Raw genomic sequence first — 25,562 nt, 5'->3', positions numbered from 1 at the left:
CAGTTTTGTGATTTAATCGTTGGAATACTCTTTAGTATTCTACTAATAAACTATCTGTAAATTTGTGTGTGACCATGGCAGCAAAATTTAACAATGTTTAACAATGTAGTAGGCCCAATTACTTTTTTTTTTGAGACGGAGTGTCTACCACCCAGGCTGGAGTGCAGTGGCGCGATCTCGGCTCACTGAACCCCGCCTCCCGAGTTCACGCCATTCTGCTGCCTCAGCCTCCCGAGTAGCTGGGACTACAGGTACCCGCCACCTCGCCCAGCTAATTTTTTTTTAGTAGACAGGGTTTCACCATGGTCTCGATCTCCTGACCTCGTGATCTGCCCGCCTCGGCCTCCCAAAGTGCTGGGATTACAGGCCAATTTCCTTTTAAAAGGCAATAAACTCAATGCATAAAGTACTTATGTTCGGCTACCTCCCACCCTTTTCTCATATTTTAAGTCTGCTCAGGAGAAAATTCACACATCCAGTGCCACAGGGAAAAACCTAAAGCCTACCTCAAAATTTTGAGTTCTTGGTTAAAGCATGAATGAGCCACAGTACTATTTTTCATTTAAACAAGAGCAAATTGTAGACCTAAAGATTACTTCTAAGGACTCAATTTACAAAAGTCATATTTACTTTATTAAAAACACAGCAAAAGCCTACTGGTTTAAAAATTAAGACAATCCAATTATAGGTTAGCTATTGCCTTTTCTCACTGCAGTAATATTTCCCTCAAAATTATCAAGACAATTCTTATGATGTTCCTTTTGAAACACTACAAAAGCAAATATTAAGGTAACTCAAAACTTGAATAATATTTTCTTTATTTACAAGTTAGAATCAACAAAGACAGTCCAGGGGACCAAATGGGGAGATGACTGAAACCCCCAGGGCCCCAAATGGAGCGGAAGGAAAAAGGGAAAACAGAGTAGAAAAAAAAAAATCAACGTAAAAAAAGAGCTCCCCCTTCTTCCCTCCCCATGGAGGCTGAGGGGACCACGGCCCCACCCTCCCCCCAGCCTTACCTAGCTTAAAATAAATTAGAACAAACAATCTCAAAACAGGGCCCTTAGAAGTGAATAGGGCAGCTGTGGCCTCAGGTAACTCCAGATCAGGGCTTTGCACACTCCCACCCTTGCCCTGCCCCATTTTGAATGGGGGCTCTGTGTCCAAGAGATCACTCCCCAATGGGGCTGGGAATTCAATGTTGTTTTGTCCATGTCCCTCCTTCAGTAAATGTCCCTGCATCCCTCCCCCACTGCAGAGCCAGCTCTCCTAGAGGGGGGCGGGGGGGGGTGAGATGAAGAAGTGTCACAGCAAAGGGGGAAGGGGCAGGTGGGGCAGGGTGGTCTAGGGGTCCGGTCCTGCGGAGCCTTCCTGCCCCATCTGGCCTGACCCCTTAGCCTGAGTCTGAATCACTGGTGTCTGAAGACGACGACGAGGAAGAGGAGGAGCTGGAATCTGAGCTGGAGCTGGAAGCGCTAAGGCGTGACACTGCTACTTGCTGTGCAGAGGATGACTCTGTTTTCTCATTCGCTGCAGAACAAATTCGAAAGTTAAAGACGTTCAAGTCTGAATCTTCATTTGTCAATAAAAGACAGTCAAGAAGGCAGGATGGAGTCAATCTGTAGTGGCATGAAAGTATATACTCACCTTTCTTGGGGGGCTTTTTAGTAGAATTGAGCTGTCCGCTGACATCTTGTAACCGCTTTTCTAATTCCCGCTTTTTCTCCAAAGCCAGTTCCTCCTTTGTCTTTCCCACAGGCTTCTTAATGGCTAATGAAAGAAATTTATCAGGATACATTAAGATTGCCCCAAGCATCTTATTATGGGCCCCTAAGGTTCCCAAGTTCCCTTCTTGAACGTCAGCTGCCAACCAACACATCCCATTATCCTGGGAGCTGACAATCCTGAATGCAAACAGACCCCACCATCTTTCCTCAACTGTCCTCAGAACCATGAGATGAACCTCATTTCATACGTACTGTAGGGCTTCCGGGGTTTCTTACGTAGGCAGGAAAGGACATAGCGCTCAAGCTCTCTAAGTGTGGATGGCTTGAGTGTTTCAAAATCAATCTCAATCTCTTCTGGGTTTGAATCACGTAAAGAGGGCTCCCTGGCTTGGATTATATGCACAACTCGGCCCAGCTTCTCCCCAGGTAATTTGTTGATGTCCAGGCTCAGCTGCCGCTTCTCATCGTAACTCATGGGCCTGCTCTCTTCCTCCTCCTCTGAATCATAACCTGTAGGCAGGGCAGGTGGGGCTGTCTTTGTGGCCTTTTTGGGGAGCCTAAGGGCAAAAAGAGTTGTCAGCAAAAGAAGCTTCATTAACCTCTTCCAGTATGTTCCCACTGTTATAATTCAGTGATCCTATTTCCTGCCCAGAGTGGAGCTTCTGTTTTTCCATTCAATGGCCAAGTAAGAGGTGGGCTACTGGGACACTGTATAGTGAAACAGAGCATTTTGCTCGACTGTAAGTAGGCAATAACATGTCTTTAAAAAGACAATGTACGTACATACCTTAATGAAAAAATATTACTAAAAATGTGACACACAAACATGTTGGAAAAACTGTTGAAAGACTTGCTCCACACAGGGTTGTCACAAATCTTCAACTAAAAAAAAAAGTAGTATCTAAAAAAAACTCCGTAAAGTGAAGCACAATAAAACAAGGTATACCTGTTTAGGTATACTGACATGGGTCTTTCTGCTCCCTTAAACACTACCAAACTACACCATGGGCCAGCTGCAGTGGCTCAGATTTGTAATCCCAGCACTTTGGGAGGCCAAGGCGGGCAGATCACTTGAGGTCAGGAGTTCAAGACCAGCCTGCCCAACATGGCGAAACCCCGTCTCCACTAAAACTACATAAACTAGCTGCGCACTAAAAATACAAAAATTAGCTGGGCGTGGTGGCGCATGCCTGTAATCCTGGCTACTTGGGAGGCTGAGGCAGGAGAATCGCTTGAACCCGAGAAGTGGAGGTTGCAGTAAGCCGAGATCACGCCACTGCACTCCAGCCTGGAGTCTTTAAAAAAAACAAAACAAAAAACAAACTAACAAAAAAAAACAAAACACAAAACCACACCAAAAAACCAAAAACTACTACGCCATGAAAAACAAGTCTAGACTCATTGATTTAGAGCAACAGGCAAACTATATGGCCCAGAGAACAAATCTGATCGCCACGTGTCTTTGCAAATAAAGTCTTTTTGGAACACAGCCATCTTCATGTTTCTAGTTTATGGCTACTTTGAGTTCACTGTCAGAGTAGCTGTGAAACACCCTGACTCCCAAAGCCAGGGGTCCCAACCCCCAGACCAGTACCAGTCCGTGGCCTGTTACTGGGCTACGCAGGAGGTGAACAGCCGGCATGTGGGCATCACTGCCTGTCACATCAGCAGAAGCATTAGATTCTCATAGAAGCATGAACCCTACTGTGAAGTGCGCATGGTACATATCCAGGCTGCATGCTCCTTATGGGAATCCAATGGCCCAATGATCTGAGGTGGAACAGTTTCATCCCAAAAACCATCCCCTCAAACCCTGTCTGTGGTAAAATCTGTCTTCCACGAAACTGGTCCCTGGTGCCAAAAAGGTTGGGGACCACTGCTCAAAGCCTATTGTATCTGTTAACTGGCCATTTAGAATTATCTTTGCAAAGAGAGATGGCATCCCCCAGAGAGACAGAAATAGCCAAACTAGTCTCTGCTTCCTACTCTAACTCACTTGGTGCCACTTCCTCCAGAAGGTCCAAAGCCAGAAGGGCCTAAAGCAGCACTGCCACCCCCACTGCCACTTGCTTTCTTGGACTTCTTAGGTTGAGGTGGGCGGGGTGCCCTAGGCCCCTTGTCATCTTCATCGGCCCCAGCTCGGCCTCGATGCTTCTCTGCCTTCCGTTTCTTCTTTTTCTCTTTTTTCTCTCTTTTCCTCTTGGGCTTGGATATTGGACCCTGGGACAGAGCAGCCAGTTGTTCATGTACTGCCCGAAGCTAAAGGAAAAAAAACATGAAGTGGAAAAAGTAAATAAAGATAAAATAACAAGAAGAAAAAATGAGGACAAAGGGCATGAACCTCTTACCCAATAAAAACTTTCAAGAGTGACAAAATACCTGTTCCTGTAGTTCTGCTAAGCGATGAGCCCTTTCTTCCTCTGAGTCTGAGCTTTCACTCTCTTCTTCCTCCTCGTCCTCCTCATCTTCCTCCTCCTCTTCCTCAGAGGAGCTCTCACTGCTACTTTCCTCACTGGAGGACTCTGAAGACGATTTGGCCAAGCCAGGGGGCATGGCAGTAGAGACTGGTAAAGGCCCTGGTTCTAGTGGTTCATCTGGCATCTTGGCATAACGGAACTCAAATACATCCTACAAAGAGGCACAAACTCAAAACTATGCTGATAAACAGTGCCCTACATACCCAGCCACCAAGTGATATAGCTCCAATTTACAACTGTACAGAACAGTGAGACCCTCACGTTGAGGCTATGCAGCACACATGACAAAATAACTCCCCATACCATTTATTTTTCAAACTCCAACCTTTCCACTCACCTGTAGCTTTCGTGCCATTGCCACAACATCGTGATCTGGGGGATTGTACTTATAGCAGTTGGAGAACATAAGCCGTACATCAGCAGCAAACTCCTGTGCATCCCGGTAATCACGGTTCTCCATCTTCCGCTGCAGAAGGAGGCAGCATCAGAAGCTGCACAGGCAGGAAGACTCACCTTTCCCTGCCAACCCCAGACACCACAAGAAGAGCCCTCTCTTGAGAGCACAGTGGGGATGACCTTAAGGATCTGTGCCCTGGGGTTCAAGTTTGAAGTCAAAGGAATTTGGGTGGGTTGAAGAAATATTTATGTCTAGAAAAAGAAATCATTTCTAAGTGACAGAGAGGTGGCCTATGCCTGTTTTTCCACCCTATAACTTCCTTAACCCAACACTGCCACATTAGTACTTAATTATAGACAGTATTTTTCTCAAGACAAAGAAACCCCACCCTACTGTTTCAAACTCCAAGAAATACAAATTCTCAAAACACCAGACCTTCTGTTCCACTATTATTTTATAAAAGTAAAATGCCAAGAACCAAAGACTGCTGTGTGCCCACATAAGGAGACTTATTGTTTTGCACCTAGGCTCCCATCACTGCCTGAGCATCCCATCTGCCCCATGCAGTGGGTACCTTGACAGTGCTGAGGTCCATGGGGTGCTTAATGATGTCATGGTAGTCATGCAGGCCAAGTGCAGAAGCATCCACTGGTTTATAGAAAGGCCAAGCATAGGCAGCATGCTTCTTAGAGAGTAACTCCTTCAAAATGCCATTGCAATGTTTTAACTGTTCTGAAAGCTTTCCTTTCTTAGAGCTCTGGTGTTGTTGCTGAGAGTCAGGCAAGTCTTTGCGTGGGGGCTTGATGGGGCGACCACTCTCTCTACGCATAGGGGGAAGCCGTGCTGCCTTAGGCTCAAGACTCCCAGGAGGGCTAGCTGGAGAACCAGGAGCCAAGATGGCTGTAGGTGTAGGGGTGGTAGTATCTGCTTTCCGCTTTACGCCTTTTTTCTGCAGAAAGAAACAAGATAGGGAACCTGTCACTCCAAGCCCACTTTACTTAAGACCCTTGCCTCCCTGCTGCCCAGAGGAAATCCACAGATCATACCTTGGCAAGGGGCTGGGCTGGAGGAGCTGCAGTAACAGCAAGGAGCGGGGGTCCAGCAGAGTGCAAGGACTTGAGAAGTGGAGAGGAAATGACTGATGGGTGGGGAATGTTGAGGACAGTGGTAGGTATCTCAGGTGGAGGAGTATACAGGGCTGTGTGTGACACAGAAGAGACGGCAGGCACCTGATGGGCACTGGTAACACTGCCCTGGAGCGCTAGAAAAAAGGAAAAAAGTGTAGTTTGATTCTCTTCCCCATCTTTAGTTGTCCATTTGCAAAACTCCCACTCTTCCTACCTGCCAACTTGGCCCCCTTCTTGTGGCTGTTCTTAGGGATGGTCACTACCAGCTCTTGTTCTTCTTGTGGCATTGATGCAACCTTCTGTAGGAATATCTTTTCCAGCGTTTGTGCCATTAGGACAATATCATCAGTGGGCTATGAGAACACAGACAGCAATAAAGAAAGTTAAAAAATGCCAACAGAAGATAGATACACACCATCTTTCTCAGAGGCATTCAGGCCCTAGGCCATTACCATACCCCCACCAGTCATCTTGTCATCAAATCTTAAAGAAAATTTCCTACTCCAGGCCACTACTAATTTCCACTTTCTCCTAACTGTCTCCCAAAATTCGAAAGAAGAAAAAACTTGAGAGCTGACAAGAAAACAGATCCCTGGTCTACTCAGGTCTCTGGTGATTTCTAAGAAACAGGACCACCACCCCCAAGTATGAAGTGTTCTAAATAACCTTCAACTAGAGCTCTGAAGTCACATCACTGTGTTCAATAGTACCATCTAGAGTCAGGTTTTTAAGACTCCGACTACCCTACCTGGATAACACCTTCAGTAGCAAAGGATTTAAACTTTATGTAGACAACATATCCAGCAATAATAGAAGTTACTGTTTCTCCCCACCTACTAAATGAACACACAGAAAAACTCACCTTGTTGTAAATGTAACAGTTGGTGAACATGGTATTAAAATCTTGCATACACTCTGAAGCAGCCCAATAATAATTGTTTTCAAGTCTCCTCTTAATAGTACCCATGTCCATAGGCTGTTTTATAATTTTGTGATAATCCTAAATAAAAAAATGTTAGGTCAGAACCACAGAAAAATAAATGCTTATAGGGAGACTACCGATCCCCGACTCTCACACACACACACACACACACACACCCCCCCTATGCATCAAAGGAACAGTTACTTAAACTGCGGCCCCAATTAAACTGTGGGACAAAATAAATAAATAAATAAAAAAGATTCTTGACATCCACAGGGAGGCCCCTGCTGCCTTTCTCTAACCACCCACCTCCCACCCACTCTGGAAACTTCCCATCCTGTGACATTACCTCTGGGGCTGGCTATCCATGGGCTGCATGAGGGAAAGGAAGAAGCTAAGAATTTTGGCCACCGTGGTCCTCTCCCAACCCGAGGTGGGAATCTGTAAAATGGAGCCAGGGCACAAAAGTTAAGGAAGGACACATGGAGGGCACAAGGAAAGATGCCAAGATAGTTACAGCAAGCGGTCGGATCAATCACAAAGGACCAAGATACCCAGAAATCTGGTAGCTAACTGCCCTACAGGGGAGAAATGGGAACTCCCTAGGGGCCGCAGCATCTACACTAGGCAGACCACCCCCATTCACACGCATTCTTGCTCATCCCACACCTCCCCGGCTCCAATGTCTCTACTCACCGGTAGACCCAGTTTGACAGCATCCACAGGCTGCCGGAATGGCCATGCGAACTGATGTTTCCACAGAGCCTTCATCACTACCTTGTGTAGGTATTGCAGCTGGTTGGTAACTCGTCCTGGCTTTTTGGGATTGGACACCTCCGGGGGTGGTGGGTTGGCAGGGGTAAGTTGCAAAGCAGGCACCGAAGCCATTGTGGGGCTCTCAAAGCCCTCATACAAGAGAGAGGGTTTTCGAATCCTCTTCCCTGGTGCTGCTGCTTCTGGGCCCAGCCCCAGCAACCCTGCATTCCCTTCCCCAGGGAGCCTGTAAAGATGGGAACAAAATTAGGGCAATATCGTCCAAATGAGGAAAAAGTGCATCTGCACAATAGTCTGATGAATCCAGGTGCTGGCCCTAGTGAGGTGGTTAAGCTTATGCCAAGTGCTTCTTAAGCAGAAACAATATCCAAACAATCTGTGGAGCTTTTATTGCTGGCCCCGCCTTCCTTTTATTAATATTTTTAGTATACTATCTAGATCCCACCTTCTTAAGTCTGATAGGCTCTATCTGTTCTTTTTCATATTTTAAAAAACTCCCAAATTGTTTCTGACAAGGCACGACATCTCAGAACTACAGCCCTATGGGGATGGGGCTTAAGCAAAATGGGTGGAGTTAAGAAACTCAAACCCCAAGCTTCCTCCTCACTAGGGGTTTGGTGGTTGCCATGGTGGTTGAGCGCCGGTAAGGAGGAAAAGAACAAATTATGGCTATAAAAAATTCCATAAAATGCTGATAAGACACAGAATAATCCACCTAGATAGAAGAGAGAGCACCATCTTCCACAAGGTCTGGGTAGTTCACGCCACAACAGAACATAGACTAGAAACCCAGAGGAAGAACCATATCAACTTAAAAACAAATTCAGACAAGGAAGAATTTGTCAGACTTCACAGCCCGTAACTTCCAGGCCCTCAAAATTATTCGCACCAAATCAGAGTCTCCTCACTCCAAGGAAGTCAAAAAGCCGTACAAAACAGTCAAGGTCACCAAGTGATAGCCCCCTTCCACCCACCCACTACACAACACGATTCCACTACCAGTTCCCCCTGTAGCACCAACTCCGGACACCAAACGCTAACAGTGGTTCATTTACAGTCCCTCTGGTGCTCCTCCGATCAGTCTTTCCTACCACCTAAGAATTAAAACATCATATGGGAATCTCATTGTTTACATCGCAGAGCTGAACTAGGAACCTTAGCTCTACCCTCCTGCCCTGAATCAAACTTTTAATGTTAGGAAAAAACAATCCCTGCACCAACAAACACCACACACAACCCACCCACCCAAAGAAAGCAAAAGATTTAATGACATACCCTGGGCATTAGGAACCTGCACACACGGGAGAGTGATCCCTTTACCCTTCTCTGGGAATCCCCGTTGCCAGTCCCTTAAGCGCTCCGTCACCATGGCAACCCTACAGGGCGCTAGAGGTGTCCGTGAATCCCCCCTAAAAGGCTAACAGACCGCCGCTAGATACCAGACCCACCAAACGCCAAACCTGCTGTTCAACCTCACTCCACTCCACCGTCAAACTAGCTCTGCCTGACTCGGTTAAGACTGGGCCACGGCGGCATTAATAGCGTATAAATTGACAACCTGTATTCCCCTCCACGAGCAGTAGCCGAGCCGCCACCACCGTTCCAAAACCGTCGCTCAATTCCCTCCGCGCGACCGAGTCGACAGCTGCGCCGCAACAGCAGCGCGCCGGGGCCGCTCAGTACTCCCAACACGGCGCCCCACACCCCTGTGCCGCCGCCCTGCAACATCCCCTTCCCACACGCGGCTCGCGGAAACGTACTTATTGTGGGGAGTCACGTTTTGCAGCATCTTGACCGCAAGGAACCGGCGCTGCCCTCAGCCGCGGAAAGTCCGGGTGGCCTCGGTTCCCCTCACCGCCCGGTCCAGCATAACCCGCTAAGTTGGGGGGAGGCCGTTCCTCTTGGGCCTCCAGGCGACAAACCCCCTGCCTGGCCGGCACGAAAGCAGTCTCTTTGGGGCCTCTCGGAGAGCTCCGGGCAGCTTGGCGCGCTCTGCAGACGGCGGACAGCAAGAAAATGGCGGCGGCCTCAGCTGAGGCGGGCAACTAAGGAGGGACTGACTCTTCAAAAGACGGTCCCCGATCTCAGACACCGTCGTCAATATAGCCCGCTGTTGGTCTGCAGGGATTCCCTCTTCTTGTCGGGCCCCTACGGGGCCGACGAGGTCCCGTTTCGATCTCGGATGGAGGCGGATGAACACGAAAAGTGGTTTAGGGAGCCGCCGCCTCCATCTTTGAAATCCTCTTGAGGGCGGAGTAGAGGGGGTGGACAGACTCCGAGGATTGGGCGGGGCCCGAAAAAGGGGAGCTCCAGGGGCTTCTAGGGGGTCTGTACTGCCCGCTGGGACCAGTCATAGGCCGGGACGAAGGCCATTTCCAAGCGGATGGAGGTGGATTGTAATGGCGGCCCCGGACGACTCGAAGGCTCTGTATCGGTAGGCAGAATCCTCCAGCTCGTTCTAGAGGCTGCTCCACTCCAGCACGAAATGGCGCCGCCGAGCCCCGCGCCAGCCCTTTATATATAGGCGGGGAGGAGGAGCTTCGCCGCTCATGCGCGCCACCCTGCTTGAGCTTTTCCCCACCCCCTCCGCGCGCGCGCGCTCGCTCACGCGGGTGAAGAAGCTGAGTCGAAGGGGAAGGAACACCTCTCCGCGGGAGCTTTTTCTATTGGCCAGCCGCAACGATGACGTCATAAACTTCATTTCCAAGGTGTCAGTCACCAGGCAGAAGAGTGCCGCAGAGACCCACAGGGAAGTGGCAACCCGCCACATCTCCAAGCCAATTGGCTGAGCTGTGGTCCGCCGACTCCAGGGAAAGAGGGTGGTTGGAAGAGGTGCGGAAGCCATCGCCCCAGAGCCTCCAGCACTCTCTCCCCGCCTCCCCTTCCAACAAAGTCTTCCCAAGCTTCCATGCACAGCCCAACTGGAGACTGCCAAGCTCGAGCAGGTCGTGCCATTCGTAGCTCCTCCATTGGCCAAAGCAGGGAAACGGGAGGGGTCGCGTGGGCGTAGCCTGCCTGAACCCGCCAGGGGTGTGGCCGCAAGACGCCTGGCGGGTGGTGGTTCTCGGCGGTAAGGCAGCAGCAGCGAAGAATCTGAAACGAGGAAAAAGACGCCATCTTAGAAGCCGCGGCCTGCTCCTCTATGGCGAACAGCTACGGGCTTCAGAACGGCGATGAGGGGATCTAACGTTCCCATGCCCCACAGTCTAAAACAGTGTTGCCAGAGTCTTATAATACTCCACTCCCTCCCTCAAGCCAAACGATGGAAAGACGAGCAAAACATTATTTACTACTGTTTAGTCCCAAAGACCACAAAAGCTAAAATACGTCTCCCAAATTTGCACGTCCAAGCACCTTTCTAATCCCTCCCCACTCACACCTACAGTTACCAATACATTTCTGCTCGTTCGAAAAATCCTCGGCAACCCTAAAAGTGGGATTAAAATCTCCAAACGCATCCATCTACCCTATACAATGCAACACACCTCACCTCTTCCTCAAACTCCATTCCGGCGTCCGGCTCAGAGCAGAAAAAGCAAGTCCTGGGAGGGATGACTTAAGGGAAAAACCCTCCCCCTCCAGGCGAGCTCGGACCTTTCCCCCCACACGCCACATCACCCCCAAAGGCACACCCGTATCCGCCTCTCAGGGGCCCTCCGCCACGGGGGCGAAAGAACCCCCCCGCCCCCCCACCAGGGTCCGGAGTCCTCCCCACGGAGCGGCTGGTCCATCGGTCAGCGCCAGGGAGGAGGGCGAGCGGAGGAGGCGGCGGCTGCGGCTCAGACTAGCCCTCCCCCTCCTCCCCTCCTCCCCTCCCCCCGGCCGTCCGCCTCCGAGGAGGGGCAGGAGCCATTTTGGGAGCTCAGTTTCGCCCCCTCCCCCCAACTTACTCTTAAGTCTTCCTCCTAACTTGGTTATCTAAATAAGGGTGCAGACTCTGTGAATCAACCAGAGCCCAGAGTCAGGATCTCCAGAGCATCTCTGGGGCCGTCCCCGCCCCCTTACAAGAGAGTGAAAGGATCTCCCCCACCCGAGAAAACCTGGGCTTTGGTGGGGCGTCCCCTCCCCCGTTTCCCCTTTCTTCGCTACCAGGGAGAAAACAAACTTGTGTACGTATCTGGGAAAAATAATCAACGTAGGTGAACAAATATACGGTAAGATTCCCCCTCGCCCCGGAAGGGCTCGTAAGGGCCTAGGTCCTTGAGCTGCAACCACGCCACCCTCCCTCCTCTGCAGTAGCCCTTCAACTCCAACCTCGGTTACTGCGTCTAAAATGGCCGCCAATCTCCTGTCTTCTGACCCCCCGAGTAGGGCAAACCCCGGGAGGGCGGGGGAAAATGAGCGTCAGGAGAGCAGAGTCCCCTTCCCCCAGCCAGGGATCAGGCCCTGGCCCCCAAAAGTACAAGCGGCCCCGTTTGGGTGGCTGCAGCATGGAGGGCAATGACACAGCAACTTTGCAGAGGCCTTTTCCCCTCCCCCTAGCGGCCCAACCTCCCAAATCTGCTTTTCTCCACCGGGGCTCTGCAGGCCAGGACAGAGGCCCATCAGGGGGCCGGCCATGGAATAAAAACTTAGGAGGCTGAGAAAATACTAGGCCTTAGGAAAAGGGCAGCCAGACATTGCTCTCGTTTATTCCCTGCATTCCGGAAAATCACTGCCTCCCGATCCTCTATCCTCCCTTCCCCCACATGAGTCACCAGGGAGGCTACTGCTACTCAGTAATTTGGGAAAGTAACTCTTTCCTCCTTTCCGTTCCCTCCCCCGCAGTACACAAGGAGAGAACTGTTCAGGACTGGGGGAGGGGATGAGGGAGGCGATGGAAGAGGCCACCCTGGAGAAACCCGAAACCTTGGGAGCTGTGAAATCATTCCAGGTCCCGAGCCTCCCTCGCATCTCAGACCATGCTGTCTAGACCCCCTACTGCCAGCACCCACCTTGGGCCTGGTTTCTGTTCCTAAGCAGACCTCAAGCTTTCAGCTTGTAAGCACCCCAGCCTGGAGTAGACACGTGCTCAGTAAAGACCCTACAGGGGCAAAAGGCCCCACAGGCCGTGTCCACGTGAATGCACACAAATTCGGTAAGCGACTCGAAGCGTAACCTCCAGCCTGCGGTGTGACGACTGGAGCTCCCCTACCGCGGACACAAAGGGCGCACAGCAATGCTCCCTCCAGAGGCTCTGGGGAGAAAGGAAGTTGGCGCCTGGGAACAACCTCAGTTCACAACATGGGTGGCCAACTCCTAAAGCATTCACATCCACGGGTAGGGGCCACAGCCACCACTCCTCAGCCCACCGCCAGGTCACCCCTCCCTCGGCCGCCGATGGATCCCTTCTCACCTGGCTCCCGGCTGCTGTACCCCCAGGGGACGAATGGAATAGGGGGGGCCACACCGCCCCCTAACCCCTTTGCCCTCCAATGGGTACGGAGGCATGAGGCTGGCCATTCCCCTCCCCCCCCATGGCCCTCTCCCGCTCGCCCCCCCTCCACGCTCCCATTGGCTGTAAAAGGTTTGAAGGACAAATCTTCCCACTCTCAGGATTCTTTCCTGAACCCCAAGAATCCCCCTCCCGGACTCCCCACCATTGGTTAAGCACTTGACTGACATCTCCGCCCCACAAGGGCCCCTTCTCACCTGGATCCTAAAGCCTTCCAGGGGGCCTCCAAAGTTGCCCTCGGCTTGGTACGGGGTATGTAATCCGGGGTGTCAACCCCCCCCCAGAAAACGAAGCCGTGCTGGGGGAGGGGGCGTAGCCCCCAGCCCCTCCCTTCCCGAACGGGCTGGGGGGGTGGGGAGAGCATCGGGGCCGCGCGGCCACGTCAGCAGCACCCAGATTGGCTGACCGGGGTCACGTGCCCGCTTCCCCCCCACCCCCCGCCTTTCCCCCAGCCACGAGGACCAGCTTTCCGAACGTTCCTGGGGGTCGCGCCAAGGGGCCAAGGGGGCCGCATGGCCCAGGCCTATGTCCCGAAACCCAGAGCGCTATAACGCTGCTGCTTGTCCATATCCCCAGCTTCCTATCCCGCAGTCCTGGACTCTGTCCCCCCCACTCGCCTCTCCATACGAGTTCAGCATGGCTGCCGCAGACCAGGAACACACACAGCGCAGGCGCAAGGGTGCGCCCTGACTGGGGGAGGGGGAAGGAGGGCCAGAGGCTGCGGGGAGAGCCGTAGTGCGCAGGCGTCCGGACCGGAACCGCATCTCCGGCGGCGGGGCTTGGAGCGCGCGCTTTTCGTGGGGCGGGAGCCCGCGCCCGGGTGCTGACCTCCTGCCTCAGCGCCCCCTCCCCCACTACCCGCGGCCTAGCGGGGTAGCCTCGGGTGGCCAGGCTTGTTTCCTCCTCGGTGGGTGTAAGGTGCGGCTTCGCTGGTCCTGGCCTGAATCCAGCGGAAGCGCACGCTGCTGAGCTGTCAGCGGAGGAAAATGGGGCCTGGACCTGGAGATATGAGGGTCTGGAGAGAGGGGCCCCTTCCCTGGTGTCGTGTGGTGCGACCACTGGAGAGGGAGTTTCTCGCCCTCGTCGCGCCTGCCGCGCGGAGAGATAAGGTGCGGACCGCAGATGTGGACTTCGTATTTGGCTTTAGTCTTAGGCAGCCTTAAAATCTCTCCGTGCCGTGAACCTACGCTAGACTTTTCTTTAGTGAGACCTGTGAGTCCCTGGACCGCTCTACCTTCTACGATATTTACCAGCTGATAACTTTTCCTTCTCTATTTATTTCGTAGTGGACCGTTTAAACCTCTTATACTCTTAAAGTTATGATCTCTCCTCTCCCAAGCTTGAGTGAATTCCCCCCAAAATTTTGGAACTGGTAACATAAAATGTTATGGTGATTCAGTTGCCAGCTAAAAAGTAAGCCTTTAATTTGTCATTAGCCGATAACCTCTCCCTTGATTACCCAGAGTATGGTCCAGATTTTCACGCTGCAGACCCTAATCTCTCCTCACCGACAGATGGCACTTCACAGAACAGAAAGGCCAATTTGCAGAACTGGCTTCCCATTTCCCACCTGCAAACTGGGTCAATTGTGTATTCCTTTCTCATTTCACTAGAGGTCCTCCCTTCGGTTTGAGGAAATCCTTTACTATTGACCTGGTCAACCTTCTCTGTTACCCGGAAGCTGTCTTCCCTTCTCCCCCTTTTGACCTTTTTAAACTTTTCTCTTGGTTTCCCCGCTGACAGAAAGATAACAACCCTCTCAATATCGTGCCCTCTTAGAGACTCATGTCTCTCGGCTTCCTTGCACAGCCAAGACCTGAAATTGAAATTATCCTTACTATCTCAATTCTTTGTCACATTCTCTTTCCCCATCCCCACTCTTCAAGCTACCTCTGTCAGGCTGCTACCACCAAAACTTTTCTGGCAGATGTCACCAAGAACCTCCTAACTGGCAAAGTCAGGAAGCACTTTACAGTTCTCACTTTATTTGACCTCTGAGGCATTCGACATTTGATCATGTTTCCTTCCTGACATTCTCTCTACCCTTGACTTCTATACCACTCTCACTTGTTTCTTTTCCTATTTGTGTAACTGTTCCTCTCCAGTCTCAGTAGATTTTTCTTCCTTAGCCCCTTTTTATGTGTTGATATTTGCTGTGATTCTTGTTTGCTTCTAATTTTGTTCAACTTCTCTAGGTAATCTGACTCCATGGCTCAAAGCCTCTGAAGTCTGAATCTTTAGTTCAGACAGCTCTCTAAGCTAAACTTTCTACTAAATATTCCCACTGGGATAACTCTCAGACACCAGTATGTTCAAAATTGATGAAATCACTATACACTCTAGACCTGCTCTTTCTCTTCTGTTGTCCTGAGTAATGGTGGCTGTTTAACCACAAAGTCTGTAATCTGGGAGCCTGTTCTTGATTTCCTTTTCTCACACCCTTACAGACTCATAATTTTGCCTCTTAACTATCCATCAACTCACCCTTCTGTCCTAATTCTATCACCTGAGCTATACCAACAGTCTCCTAAATTATTTGCTAGACACATGGCTATTTGGATTTAAATTAATACAATTTTAAATTTAGTGTCTCAATACACTAGCCACATTTTAAGTTCTCAATAGCCACATGTGACTAGTGGCTGTCATATGGGAAAGCACAGATTATTGAACATTTGTGTCATTGCAAGAAGTTGTTTTTTTCTTTCCCTGATACGGAGTCTTGCTCTGTGGCCTAGGATGGAGTGCAGTGGCGCAGTCTTGGCTTACTGCAACCTCTGCCTCCCGGGTTCAAGCAATTCTGCCTCAGCCTCCCGAGTAGCTGGGATTACAGGCGCCTGCCACCACACCCGGCTAGTGTCTGTATTTTTAGTAGACACGGGGTTTCACCATGTTGGCCAAATTAGTCTCGAATTCCTGACCTCGTGATCCGCCCGCCTCAGCCTCCCAAAGTGCTGGGATTACAGGCGTGAGCCACTGCGCGCGGCCTCATTACAAGAAGTTCTGTTGGACAGTGCTGCTTTAGACTTTCCTCTCTGCCTCTGCCACAATACTGCCAGGAGAGAGCTTTCCAAAATATAGCCCTGGCCATAGCTCTTTTTAAAACTCTGTGTTATTCCTTATTGGCTATGTGATAAAGTCCAAATTCCTATGTTTGCCAAAACAGTCTGCCTAGCTTTCCAGCCTCATGTCTAACCACTTCCTCTTGGGCCCTATATTCCAGCTGTATTGAACTGTTTCCCAGACACATCATTTTGTTTCATGCCTCTGTGTTTTACACATGTGCACTTTCTATATGGAGTAGACTTTTCCCCAATCTATGTACGCCCAAATAACATCTCTGAAAAGCTTAATGTTACTGTTCAAGTTGAGCTAACTGCTCATTCTTTGGTGTCCCTTCCCCTTATGATTTTACTTTCCACAGTGAATGGCATTTATGTGATTACATGTTTCTCTCTAGTACTAGACCTTGATTTTGAGAGCAGGGCCATTATGCATTCTTTTTCTTGCTTTGCTTTTTTTTTTTTTTTTAATATCCCTAGGTCCTAGCACAGTATCTGGCCAATATTAGGTTCTCACAAATTGAGCAAATATGGAGGTGAATTGATGTGTAAGTAAGTATGTGACTTAGGTAAGATTGAAATGTGTATGTTTTATGGGGTGCCATGTATAGGGGAATAATCATAGACAAAATTATTGCCTTCAAACCTGAGACATTAGAATTATGTGAGGAAAGACAGACATAGAACAGCACAGGTTATTGTCACAGAGAGTAGTCTAGTCCAGTCTGGCCAGAACATAAGCTACAAGAAGTAGAGCAGGAGAAGAGAAAATGGGAGGTAAATTTATATTAGAGAACACATTATAGAAGGTTTCCAGTGCTGTTAAGTTTGGAATCAGTGGGGAACCACTGAAATTTTTTGACTAATGACTTGATCAGAATTATGTTGTTAGATAGAAACTCTGTCTTCCAGTGGCTGGCACCGTCCATGTTAATAAACATCAAATTAAAATGTCGGGGTTGGAAGGAGATGTGATTGGTGATACAAAACATTTATTGAGTAGTTAAAATGTGTCAGGTACTGCAATGAGTACATGTAGTAACTCTTTTAATCCTTATAACCCTATAAAGTCAATACTAATATTATCACCCTCAGTTTTCAAATGAAACAACAGAAGCAAAGGACGTCTTAGTCTGTTTTCTGATGCTATCACAGAATACCACAGACTGGGTAATTTATAAACAGTAGTTTATTTGGCTCAGTTCCAGTTGCTTGGAAGTCCAAGAGCATGGCATTGGCATCTGGTGAGAGCCTTGTGCTGCATCATCCCACGGCAGAAAGGCAAACAAGCACATGAGATGGAGAGAGAATAGAGGCCAGAATGTACCCTTTGTTTGTTTGTTTGTTTTGAGGCGGAGTCTCGCTCTGTCGCCCAGACTGGAGTGCAGTAGTGCAATCTTGGCTCACTGCAAGCTCCTCCTCCCGGGTTCACACCATTCTCCTGCCTCAGCCTCCCAAGTAGCTAGGACTACAGGTGCCCGCCACCAAGCCTGGCTAATTTTTTGTATTTTTAGTAGGGACGGGGTTTCACCGTGTTAGCCAGGATGGTCTCCATCTCCTGACCTCATGATCCACCTGCCTCGGCCTCCCAAAGTGCTGGGATTACAGGTGTGAGCCACTGTGCCCGGCCTCAGAATGTCCCCTTTTAAATGGGAACCCATACCTACATTAGTAGCATTAATCCATTCATGAGAGCAGAGCCCTCATGACCTAATTAACTCTTAAAGGTCCCACTTCTTAAAACTGTCAAAATGGCAATTATTTTCAACAAGAGTTTTGGAGGAGAGATTCAAACCATAGCAGGTAATATTTACCTAAGGTCACACCTTTAGTAAGTAGCAGAACTGGGATTTGAACCCAGCTGACTCTGGGTGGCATATTATTCTGTTTACTAGGCACAGCAGGGAGTTTAAGATCCAAGATTGAAGTTAGAGAAAAAAGATTAGGAAAAGCAGATTTGAGAGTCACCTTTGAGGTGATGTTTGAATCAGCCACGAAGGTAGCTGAGGTTTGTAAAAGAGGGGGTATAAAAACAATTTAGGGTGAAGGATTGAGCTTTGGGTTACATCTTCATACAGGAAGCAAGAATAGGAAGTGGAACCAATGGAAGATCTCAAGGAGAAGCAGAGCAACATAATGTGAGGAAGCTAGAACAGGAGATGGTTCCAGGAAGGATGTCATGTTCATTGAATGACTGATTAAATCAGGACTCCTTAAGCTTTTTATGTGCCATTAGCTTTTTTGGCAGTTTGGTGAAGCCTTTGGATCTTGTCTGATAATATTTGTAAATGCATAAAATAAAATATAAACTATAGTTATCAAAATACAGTGGTCCCCCCTTAACTGCAGTTTCAATTTCTGTGATTTCAGTTACCCAAGGTCAACCTGGTCTGAAAATAAGTACAATAAGATACTTTGTGTATGAGACAGAAAGACCATATTCACATAACTTTTATTACAATATAATTGTCCTATTTTGTTGTTAATCTCTTCCTGTGCAAATTTATAAATTAAACTTTATCATAGGTATATCTATGGATAGGAATAAACTGTATAATCACATTTGGTGCTGTGTGGGGGACACTACTATATTCAAAGAAACGTGTGATGATCTAGTAGTATGTGTTTCTGTATTAATACAATACAGTGTTTCTTTACTAATACATTAAAAAGCATGATTTTTTGGCAAGTTTAACAGCTCCCATAATTGTAAGTGATATTTTAAGATGTCTGTAACAACTATAATGTGATATGAAAATATTAATTGATGGTGTTTTCTATTGATGACAGTGTTACAGCTGCTGGCTGGTACTACAAAGATTTATTTTCTACATTCATAAAATTAGATTTCAGTGAGAGTTTTTTGAAAATAAAGTTGACTTTTTTTTATTCCATCCAAGTTTATGGACTTCTGAATTGTTTTTTTTTATTTTTTATTGATACATAATAATTGTACATATTTATGGGGTACATATGATATTTTGATACATGCATACGATGTGTAATGATCAAATCAGGATAATTAGGATATCCATCACCTCAAACATTTATTATTTCCTTCTGTTGGGAGCACTTCAAATCTACTAGCTATTTTGGAATATACAGTAAATTAATGTTAACTGTAGTCACCCAGCTGTGCTATCAAACACTATAGAATTTATTCCTTCAATTTAACTATATTTTTGTAACCATTAATGAATCTCTCTTCATCCCCCCTCCACCCCCTCCCTTTCCCAGTCTCTGGTAACCATCATTCTACCCTCTACCTCCATAAGATCAACTTTTTTAGCTCCCACTTATGAGAACGTGATATTTTTTTTTCTGTGTCTGACTTATTTCATTAACATAATGACTTCCAGTTCCATCCATGTTGCTGGAAATGACAGGATTTCATTCTTTTTTATGGCTGACTAGTATCCATTGTATATATATACACCACATTTTCTTTATCCAGTCACTTGATAGACACTTAGATTGATTCCATGTCTTGGCTACTGTGGGTAGTGCTGAAATAAACATGGGCATGTACACATCTCTTTGATACACTGATTTCCTTTCTTTTGGATATATACCCAGCAGTGGGATTGCTGAATCATCTAGTAGATCTATTTTTAGTTGTTTGAGGAACCTTTATGCTGTTTTCCATAGTGGCTATGTTAATTTACATTTCTACCATCAGTATATGAGCATTCCCCTTTCTTTGCATCCTCACCAGTATCTCTTATCTGTGTCTTTTTGATAATAGCCATTTTAATTAGATTCAGATGATATCTCATTGTGGTTTTGATTTGCATATCCCTGATGGTTAGTAACGTTGAGAATTTTTTCATATGCCTGTTGGCCATTTGTATGTCTTTTGAGAAATGTCTATTCAGATCATTTGCCCATTTTCAAATGGGATTATTTGGAGGATTTTTGCTGTTGAGTTTGAGTTCCTTATATATTCTGGTTATTAAACCCTTATCAGATGGATAGTTTGCACATATTTTTTCCCATTCTGAAGGTTGTCTCTTCACTCTGTTGATTGTTTCCTTTGCTGTGGCAGAAGCCTTTTAGCTTGATGTAATCCCATTTGTGTATTTTTGCTTTCATTGCCTCTCCTTTTGAAGTCTTAAACCAAAAAATGTTTGCTCAAAGTCTTGAGCATTTCCCCAGTATTTTCTTACAGTAACTTTTATAGTTTCAGGTCTTACATTTAAGTTTTTAATCCATTTTGATTTAATTTTTGTATTTGATGAGAGATGGGGGTGTAGTTGTATTTTTCTGCATATTGTTATTCAGTGTTCCCAGCACCATTTAATGAAGAGTGTGTCCTTTTCCCATTGAATATCTTGGTACCTTTGTTGAAAATCAGTTGGCTGTTAAGATGTGGATCTATTATTTCTGGGTCCTTTATTCGGTTCTATTGGTCTGTGTATCTGTTTTTATGCCAGTACCGTGCTCTTTTAGTTACTGTAGCTTTGTAGTATATTTTGAAGTTGGGTGGTATGATGTCTACAGCTTTGTTCTTTTTGTTCAGAATTACCTTGACTATTTGTGTTTTCTGTGGTTCCATATTAATTTTAGGTTTGTTTTTTCTGTTTCTGCAAGGAATATCTTTGTATTTTGATAGGAATTGCAACAAATCTGTAGATTGCTTTTGGTAGTACAGTCATTTTCACGATACGAATTCTTCCGAAGACATAGGATGTCTTTCTATTTTTTTGTGACCTCTTCAGTTTTTTTCCTCAGTGTCTCATAGTTTTCCTTGTAGAGATCTTTCACCTCCTTGGTTTATTCTAGGTATTCTATTTTGTTTTTTTGGTGGGGGGAGGGGTTGTAGCTATTGTAAATGGGATTACTTTCTTTGATTTCTTTTCCCACTAGTTTACTGTTTGTATCCAGAAGCACCATTAATTTTTATATGATAATTTTGTATCCTGCAACTGTACTGAATTTATCAATTCTAAGAGATTTTGTGTGTGTGTGTGTGTGGACCTTTTAGTTTATAAATTTGTATGTTTTCTTGTTTAATGTCTCTTTATTTTCATTAGACTTTAAGTGTGATGATGGCAGGTATCTGATACAGAGCATACTGCTAGACACAGAAGGTGGCCAATAAATATTTGCTAAATAAATGAACCTTTCTGAGTCCCAGTTTTCTTGTTTATATAATGGGGATAATAAATTATAACCTTGTAGAGTAGTTGTAAGGATTGCTGCATCATAGTAATGTCACTAAAAGGGAGGATGAATATGGGTATGGAGAAATGTACTGAGGTAGAAATAAGAGTAAATGTGGGAGCTGGATGGCTAGGTTTGCTCTCTGAAACAGGAGGTGGCAGGGAGTAGGAAGAAAATGGTAGTTGGCAAGGAGCTTGGGAAGGGCCTAGAATGGAATTGGAAGGGTAGTAGAGTATATAGGGAAGGCTGTGGAGGTGTAAAATGGCTCATAGAGACTGGGTGTGGTTGCTCATGCCTGTAATCAAAGCACTTAGGGAGGCCGAGCCAGGTGGATCACGAGGTCAGGAGATCAAGATTATCCTGGCTAACACAGTGAAACCCCATCTCTACTAAAAATACAAAAAAAAAAAAAAAATTAGCCGGGTATGGTGGCACGTGCCCGTAGTCCCAGATACTCCAGAGGCTGAGGCAGGAGAATCACTTGAACCTGGGAGGCGGAGGTTGCAGTGAGCGGACACCGTACCACTGCACTCCAGCCTTGGCAACAGAGTGAAACTCCATCTCAAAAAAAAAAAAAAAAGAATGGCTTATAGATAAACCTGATAAGATTTACCTTTGAAACATCTGTTAGAAGGGACAATCCATCATCATCTAATACCTGAAGGCTCTTCCATTCTCAGTTCAGCACCTTCAGAGACTGGTAGCCCATTTGTTCATCGAGTGAAAGGTCACTTAGTGGGCCTCTTGGTGGAGATATATATATATATAGTACACCCTCCCCTAAGGACCTTGCAGTAGAGATGAGGTGACTATGAAACAGACATATAAATGGAAGATAATAATACAATTAAAACAGTGATAATGGCCAACACAGGGTGCTTTGGAAACGTACTGAAGAGGCTATTAATCTCAACTCTGGGTTCAAGGAAGGCTTCCTGAGAGGAGTGAGATTTCACCTGAAAAGACATATAGAAGTAGGTAAGTAGACTTCAGGTCATTATGGGTCATGACAAGGAAAGTAGATCATTAACAATCATGGAAGGTTTTCATGCAGAAGTATAATATGATCAACTAAGCATAATAAAAATATCCTTCTGGCAGCACTGTGGAAAATAATAAGATTGGAGAGAGAGAGACCAATTATAAAGAAAGTTGCAATAATCAGTGAAAACCAACCATTGAAGGCCTGGACCAGTAGGAATGGAAGGAAAAGAAAGGAAGATTCAAGAGCTATTAGAAAGGTAGAATTGTTAGGACAATTGAATGGGAAGGTTTGAGGAAGATGGGGTCATCAACGATGACCCACATTTGTAGCTCGGGTGGACATCTTGTTATTCACTGAAGTCTTAAATATAAGAGAGGAGTTGGAATATATTGGGAAGGGAAAGTGATGAGTGTACTCTTGTAATCTTGAGATGGAGATACATTCAGAGTAACAATTGCTAACTTTATTTGCCTATGGAATACCTAATTAGAATTCATTATTGAACCATCAATAGCTTATGAAACATAAAATAGAAAACTCACCAATTTTTTTAAACTAATGGCACGGTTTGAAAATTATAAGACACTGCTTTTCATTTAAAACTTCATTCTCTTACACATTTTTGAGATAACTAGGAGAAATGAACAGATTGGGTCAAATGAAGTTAAGTAATTTTTAATTTTGTTGGTTGTGGTGATGGCATTATAGTTATGTTAAGGGAAAGGTTATTATCTATTATAGATATGCCTAAAAGTATTTACTGGTGAAATGTAATGACAGAATTTGTTTAAAATACTCCAAAAAATGCAGAACAATAGATGAAACAAGAATGGAAGAATGTTAAATGTTGAAAATTGTTGACATTCATGAGAGTACATTGGAGTTTATTAGATTCTTCTCTTCTGTGTGTGCTTGGAGCTTTTCAAAGTAAAATTAAAAAAACCTTTTTAGTCAGAGATTCAAAGGAAATTCGTGGAATATATAATTTTAAATTAATAAATCAATATTGAATCACATGATAAATGTAATTTGAATATGTGATAAGACAAGTGACCGACCAGAGATCATCAAGCAGATGACATATGTCACCTGAGTAGTTAGGAAATGCTGTTTGAGCATTAATACACAGATTTAACCTTATGTTTATGCCTCAGATGATCTCATACAATTGTCTGAGATGCCATATGTTGAAAATAGCTGTATTGAGGTGGTTACTTTTCATATGATTCTCCCTTCTCTAGGAATAGCTCTAATCCATAGAGGTAATACTGTACCTGGCCACAACCAATGAATCCAGTGGTACACACCTAATACAAGCTGAGCCAGTGAGAGAGGCTCTCCCAGCAAAGCAAAACTTGAAAGATAAAGAGGCAGGAGGCCTTTGCAGGTGAGCATATTAATGGCAACTCAACCCCTGCTTCTAAGGTCCCTGTGGCTATTCTACCTGAGGCTAGCTTATTCAACTATTACTTTCATTTCATGAGTTAGATCAGTATCTTTCCAATAAATCCTCATTTTTAAAATGTAAGTTAGCCAGAATTGGTTTCTATTGCTTGCAATAAATAGACTTATTAAATATAATAAATTGTTACATAATAAAAAATATTATATAAATGTGTTTGATGTTGCATTATGTCTATGTGGAAATAAATTCAAAAATAAATGATTGCTATCATCAAACTTACTTTTTTTATTTCTTGAGGAACGCTATTGTGAAGAATACAGTTTAAGAACATGCAAATTCATGAAGCGTTCCATATTTAAAAAAAAAACAAAAACAAAAAACTGCTATTGCATAGCATCCAAGTGGATTTGACCAGAAGTGGTTCAGATATGGGTAGTGTGGAACTCAGAGCAAGATCTGAGCTGAAGAGGTAAGCTTGGAAGACATTAGCAAATGGGTGGTAACAGAAGGCATGTGGGAGTAAATGAGAGGACCATCCAGGGCAAGTGTATAGTCTAAGAAGAGTAAAGGTTGAGGACAAAACTCCAGGGAACACCAATACTTAAAGGGTTGCTGAAAGAAAGGAGTCCCAAAGGGACTGAAAAGGGGACGCCAGAAAAGTAGGAGGGAAAACTAGGAGAGAGTGCCATCAGGGATGCCAGAAATTTGACCAATTTAGGAGATGGGGTATGGCCAACAGTGTCAGATGTTGCAGAGACTAGTTCATTTGATTTGGCAACACAAAAGTATTGGTGAACAATTGCATTGTTGAGAGTTAAAAGATTAAATGGCAAGAATGGGAGCGGGGCCACAGTTGCCCATGACTTTTCCAAGAAATCTGACTCTGCTAGGGGAAAAAAAATAGAGTCCTTTTTATATATTTATTTATTTATTTTTTGAGATGGAGTCTTGCTCTGTCACCCAGGCTGGAGTGCAATGGCACGATCTCAGCTCACTGCAACCTCCACCTCCCGAATTCAAGTGATTCTCCTGCCTCAGCCTCCTGAGTAGCTTGGATTACAGGCACCCGCCATCACGCCTGGCTAATTTTTTTTTTTTTTGTATTTTTAGTAGAGATTCACCATTAACCAGGATGGCCTTGATCTCCTGACCTCGTGATCCACCCCCCTCGGCCTCCCAAAGTGCTGGGATTACAGGCGTGAATCACTGCGCCTGGCCAAATAGAGTCCATTTTTAAATGCTAGAAAGGGATGGCAGAGCTGAGTGTTAGAAAGCCAGAGCCTCCTGGATTTACCGGTGCTGTGCCATTATTTTCAGAGGCATTCATAGCTAATGACAAAGTAGACAGTGAACTACTGCAAAGCAGAACTGGCTGCCTTGCTCATCTCTTGCCCACAATTATTACTTTCCAAACTGATGAGAGACTATTCCTGAGATACTTATGATGGAGGTAGTTGGGAGGTCCTGGTGGGGAAGGATTACATGGAGGGAAGAGTAGTTATAAGTGTTTGAACTTGTTACCATTTAAACTGAGATTATAGAAGGGGAGAATGGAGTTAACCACCCCTCACCACAGTCTTGGTGAGGGATGGTTATGTTTGTCCTCACCTTGGTCTTGTCTACACTGTGCTCCCTATGGAGAACTTGGACCCCTCTGCCTTGTTCCTCTCACCCAGAGAAATTGCAGTGTCTGCTGTACCTATTCCTATGCCCTTCCACCCAGTCTAGTTTCTCCTGTTCTTCCCCAGATCTCCTTCCAAATAGACTGGTGTAACTGGCACAAAGTGTTTGTTAACTGATTGCCAATCCAATAATAAGGGGACTGAGGTTCTTCTTTGAAGGGTGGGTTTAATTTGGGGCTTTCGTACCAATTCTGACCACGTGTAGAGCATCATTCAGCACACTATGGGCTGTGAGCACAATCTTGCCTACCACCTGTTTTTAAATGGCCTAAAAGCTAAGAATGGTCTTCACATTTTTAAATGGTTAGGGAAAAAAAAAGCAAATGAAGAATATTTCGTGACACATGAAAATTACATGAAATTTGAATTTTAGTGTCCATAAATAAAAAGAGGGTTGAGGACAAAAA

General features: G+C 45.9%; 1 protein-coding gene and 1 long non-coding RNA gene across 9 annotated transcripts, besides 4 other annotated features; one reads left to right on the top strand and one right to left on the bottom strand.

The window, feature by feature from the left end:
* Nucleotides 607-13,518, bottom strand: BRD2 (bromodomain containing 2). Of its 7 annotated transcripts, NM_001291986.2 has the most exons (14): nucleotides 10,915-11,182; nucleotides 9,185-10,517; nucleotides 7,347-7,650; nucleotides 7,000-7,091; nucleotides 6,591-6,728; nucleotides 5,943-6,081; nucleotides 5,648-5,862; nucleotides 5,176-5,550; nucleotides 4,542-4,670; nucleotides 4,107-4,355; nucleotides 3,724-3,986; nucleotides 1,980-2,284; nucleotides 1,648-1,770; nucleotides 611-1,530 (listed from the first exon to the last, which is right to left on the bottom strand). In NM_001291986.2, exons 5-14 carry the CDS (start codon nucleotides 6,699-6,701, stop codon nucleotides 1,394-1,396), a joined length of 2,046 nt encoding a protein of 681 aa, NP_001278915.1. In that variant the 5' UTR covers nucleotides 6,702-6,728; nucleotides 7,000-7,091; nucleotides 7,347-7,650; nucleotides 9,185-10,517; nucleotides 10,915-11,182; the 3' UTR covers nucleotides 611-1,393. The 7 variants fall into 7 exon arrangements, with proteins under 7 accessions (NP_001186384.1, NP_001278915.1, NP_005095.1 ...); NM_001199455.1 differs by lacking the exons at nucleotides 7,000-7,091; nucleotides 10,915-11,182 and adding an exon at nucleotides 2,918-3,022 and having other exon boundaries at nucleotides 607-1,530; NM_005104.4 differs by lacking the exons at nucleotides 7,000-7,091; nucleotides 10,915-11,182 and adding an exon at nucleotides 13,056-13,518.
* Nucleotides 9,327-9,935: an enhancer, noted in NCBI's record as "NANOG-H3K27ac-H3K4me1 hESC enhancer chr6:32939954-32940562 (GRCh37/hg19 assembly coordinates)". NCBI's record gives its function as "activates a minimal SCP1, AML or CMV promoter by ChIP-STARR-seq in primed H9 embryonic stem cells {active_cell/tissue: H9 hESC(primed)}" and the evidence as "EXISTENCE:reporter gene assay evidence [ECO:0000049][PMID:30033119]".
* Nucleotides 11,404-12,603: an enhancer, noted in NCBI's record as "MED14-independent group 3 enhancer chr6:32937286-32938485 (GRCh37/hg19 assembly coordinates)". NCBI's record gives its function as "activates an origin of replication core promoter dependent on BRD2, BRD4, P300/CBP and CDK7 cofactors, and independent of MED14, by STARR-seq in HCT116 cells {active_cell/tissue: HCT116}" and the evidence as "EXISTENCE:reporter gene assay evidence [ECO:0000049][PMID:35650434]".
* Nucleotides 11,747-12,285: an enhancer, noted in NCBI's record as "NANOG-H3K27ac-H3K4me1 hESC enhancer chr6:32937604-32938142 (GRCh37/hg19 assembly coordinates)". NCBI's record gives its function as "activates a minimal SCP1, AML or CMV promoter by ChIP-STARR-seq in primed H9 embryonic stem cells {active_cell/tissue: H9 hESC(primed)}" and the evidence as "EXISTENCE:reporter gene assay evidence [ECO:0000049][PMID:30033119]".
* On the top strand, nucleotides 13,591-18,819 carry LOC124901302 (uncharacterized). 2 transcript variants are annotated; one of them, NR_190904.1, is made up of 3 exons: nucleotides 13,591-13,967; nucleotides 16,401-16,472; nucleotides 17,999-18,819. It is a non-coding gene; the product is annotated as an uncharacterized LOC124901302 (long non-coding RNA). The 2 variants fall into 2 exon arrangements; NR_190903.1 differs by lacking the exon at nucleotides 16,401-16,472.
* Nucleotides 13,902-14,441: an enhancer, noted in NCBI's record as "H3K27ac hESC enhancer chr6:32935448-32935987 (GRCh37/hg19 assembly coordinates)". NCBI's record gives its function as "activates a minimal SCP1, AML or CMV promoter by ChIP-STARR-seq in naive H9 embryonic stem cells {active_cell/tissue: H9 hESC(naive)}" and the evidence as "EXISTENCE:reporter gene assay evidence [ECO:0000049][PMID:30033119]".

Source organism: Homo sapiens, chromosome 6 (genome assembly GCF_000001405.40).
Source record: "Homo sapiens chromosome 6, GRCh38.p14 Primary Assembly".
Taxonomy (NCBI): domain Eukaryota; kingdom Metazoa; phylum Chordata; class Mammalia; order Primates; family Hominidae; genus Homo; species Homo sapiens.
Note: the sequence above shows the minus strand (reverse complement) of the source record. Positions and strands in the feature narration are given on the sequence as shown.

Excerpts from the sequence above, each read along its gene's own strand:
- BRD2 (NM_001199455.1), bottom strand. The coding sequence starts at position 9,213 with ATGCTGCAAAACGTGACTCCCCACAATAA. Across the intron at positions 4,356-4,541 it reads CAATGGCACGAAAGCTACAG|GATGTATTTGAGTTCCGTTA; the intron begins GTGAGTGGAAAG and ends GCCTCTTTGTAG. Across the intron at positions 2,285-2,917 it reads CCAAGTAGCCAGGATTACAG|GCTCCCCAAAAAGGCCACAA; the intron begins GCATGCGCCACC and ends TTTTGCCCTTAG.